We start from the raw sequence: 1,641 nt of genomic DNA on the forward strand, positions 1-1,641 counted from the left end.
GATAAGTATATCTCTAATGTTAACTGTCTTGTAAAATTATTTGAAACTATATTTCTTATTATTAACTTCAAGAATAAAACCACAATTACTCCCCTCTATAATGAAAACATAAGCATACTTCCCTCCTCCAAAATACTTTGTCAACTTTCTAGTATTGTTTATAGAATATGGAGTTTAAGTCCTACACTATTATTATTATTTTATTTGTTTCTATTTACCCTTTTGTGAATACTTTTACATTTGAATTTTTTTAAATTAATTAATTAATTTATTTATTGATCATTCTTGGGTGTTTCTCGCAGAGGGGGATTTGGCAAGGTCATAGGACAATAGTGGAGGGAAGGTCAGCAGATAAACAAGTGAACAAAGGTCTCTGGTTTTCCTAGGCAGAGGACTCTGCGGTCTTCCGCAGTGTTTGTGTCCCTGGGTACTTAAGATTAGGGAGTGGTGATGACTCTTAACGAGCATGCTGCCTTCAAGCATCTGTTTAACAAAGCACATCTTGCACCGCCCTTAATCCATTTAACCCTGAGTGGACACAGCACATGTTTCAGAGAGCACAGGGTTGGGGGTAAGGTCACAGATCAACAGGATCCCAAGGCAGAATAATTTTTCTTAGTACAGAACAAAACAAAAAGTCTCCCATGTCTACTTCTTTCTACACAGACACGGCAACCATCCGATTTCTCAATCTTTTCCCCACCTTTCCCCCCTTTCTATTCCACAAAACCGCCATTGTCATCATGGCCCGTTCTTAATGATCTGTTGGGTACACCTCCCAGACGGCATGGTGGCCGGGCAGAGGGGCTCCTCACTTCCCAGTAGGGGCGGCCGGGCAGAGGCGCCCCTCACCTCCCGGACGGGGTGGCTGGCCAGGCCGGGGGGCTGACCCCCCCACCTCCCTCCCGGACCGTGCGGCTGGCCGGGAGGGGGGCTGACCCCCCCACCTCCCTCCCGGACGGGGCTGCTGGCCTGGCGGGGGCTGACCCCCACCTCCCTCCCGGACGGTGTGGCTGCCGGGCGGAGACGCTACTCACTTCTCAGATGAGGTGGCTGCCGGGCGGAGGGACTCCTGACTTCTCATATGGGGCGGTTGCCAGGCAGAGGGTCTCCTCACTTCTCAGACGGGGCGGCTGGGCAGAGACGCTCCTCACCTCCCAGACTGGGTCGCGGCGGGGCAGAGGCGCTCCTCACATCCCAGACGGGGCGTTGGGGCAGAGGCGCTCCCCACATTTCAGACGATGGGTGGCCGGGCAGAGACGCTCCTCACTTCCTAGATGGGATGGCGGCAGGGAAGAGGCGCTTCTCACTTCGTAGATGGGATGGCGGCCGGGCAGAGACGCTCCTCACTTTCCAGACTGGGCAGCCAGGCAGAGGGGCTCCTCACATCCCAGACGATGGGCGGCCAGGCAGAGACGCTCCTCACTTCCCAGACGGGGTGGCGGCCGGGCAGAGACTGCAATCTCGGCTCTTTGGGAGGCCAAGGCAGGCGGCTGGGAGGTGGTTGTAGCGAGCCGAGATCACGCCACTGCACTCCAGCCTGGGCACCATTGAGCACTGAGTGAACGAGGCTCCGTCTGCAATCCCGGCACCTCGGGAGGCCGAGGCTGGCGGATCACTCACGGTTAGGAGCTGGAGACC

The sequence above is a fragment of the Homo sapiens genome, chromosome 22 (assembly GCF_000001405.40).
Source record: "Homo sapiens chromosome 22, GRCh38.p14 Primary Assembly".
Classification (NCBI taxonomy): domain Eukaryota; kingdom Metazoa; phylum Chordata; class Mammalia; order Primates; family Hominidae; genus Homo; species Homo sapiens.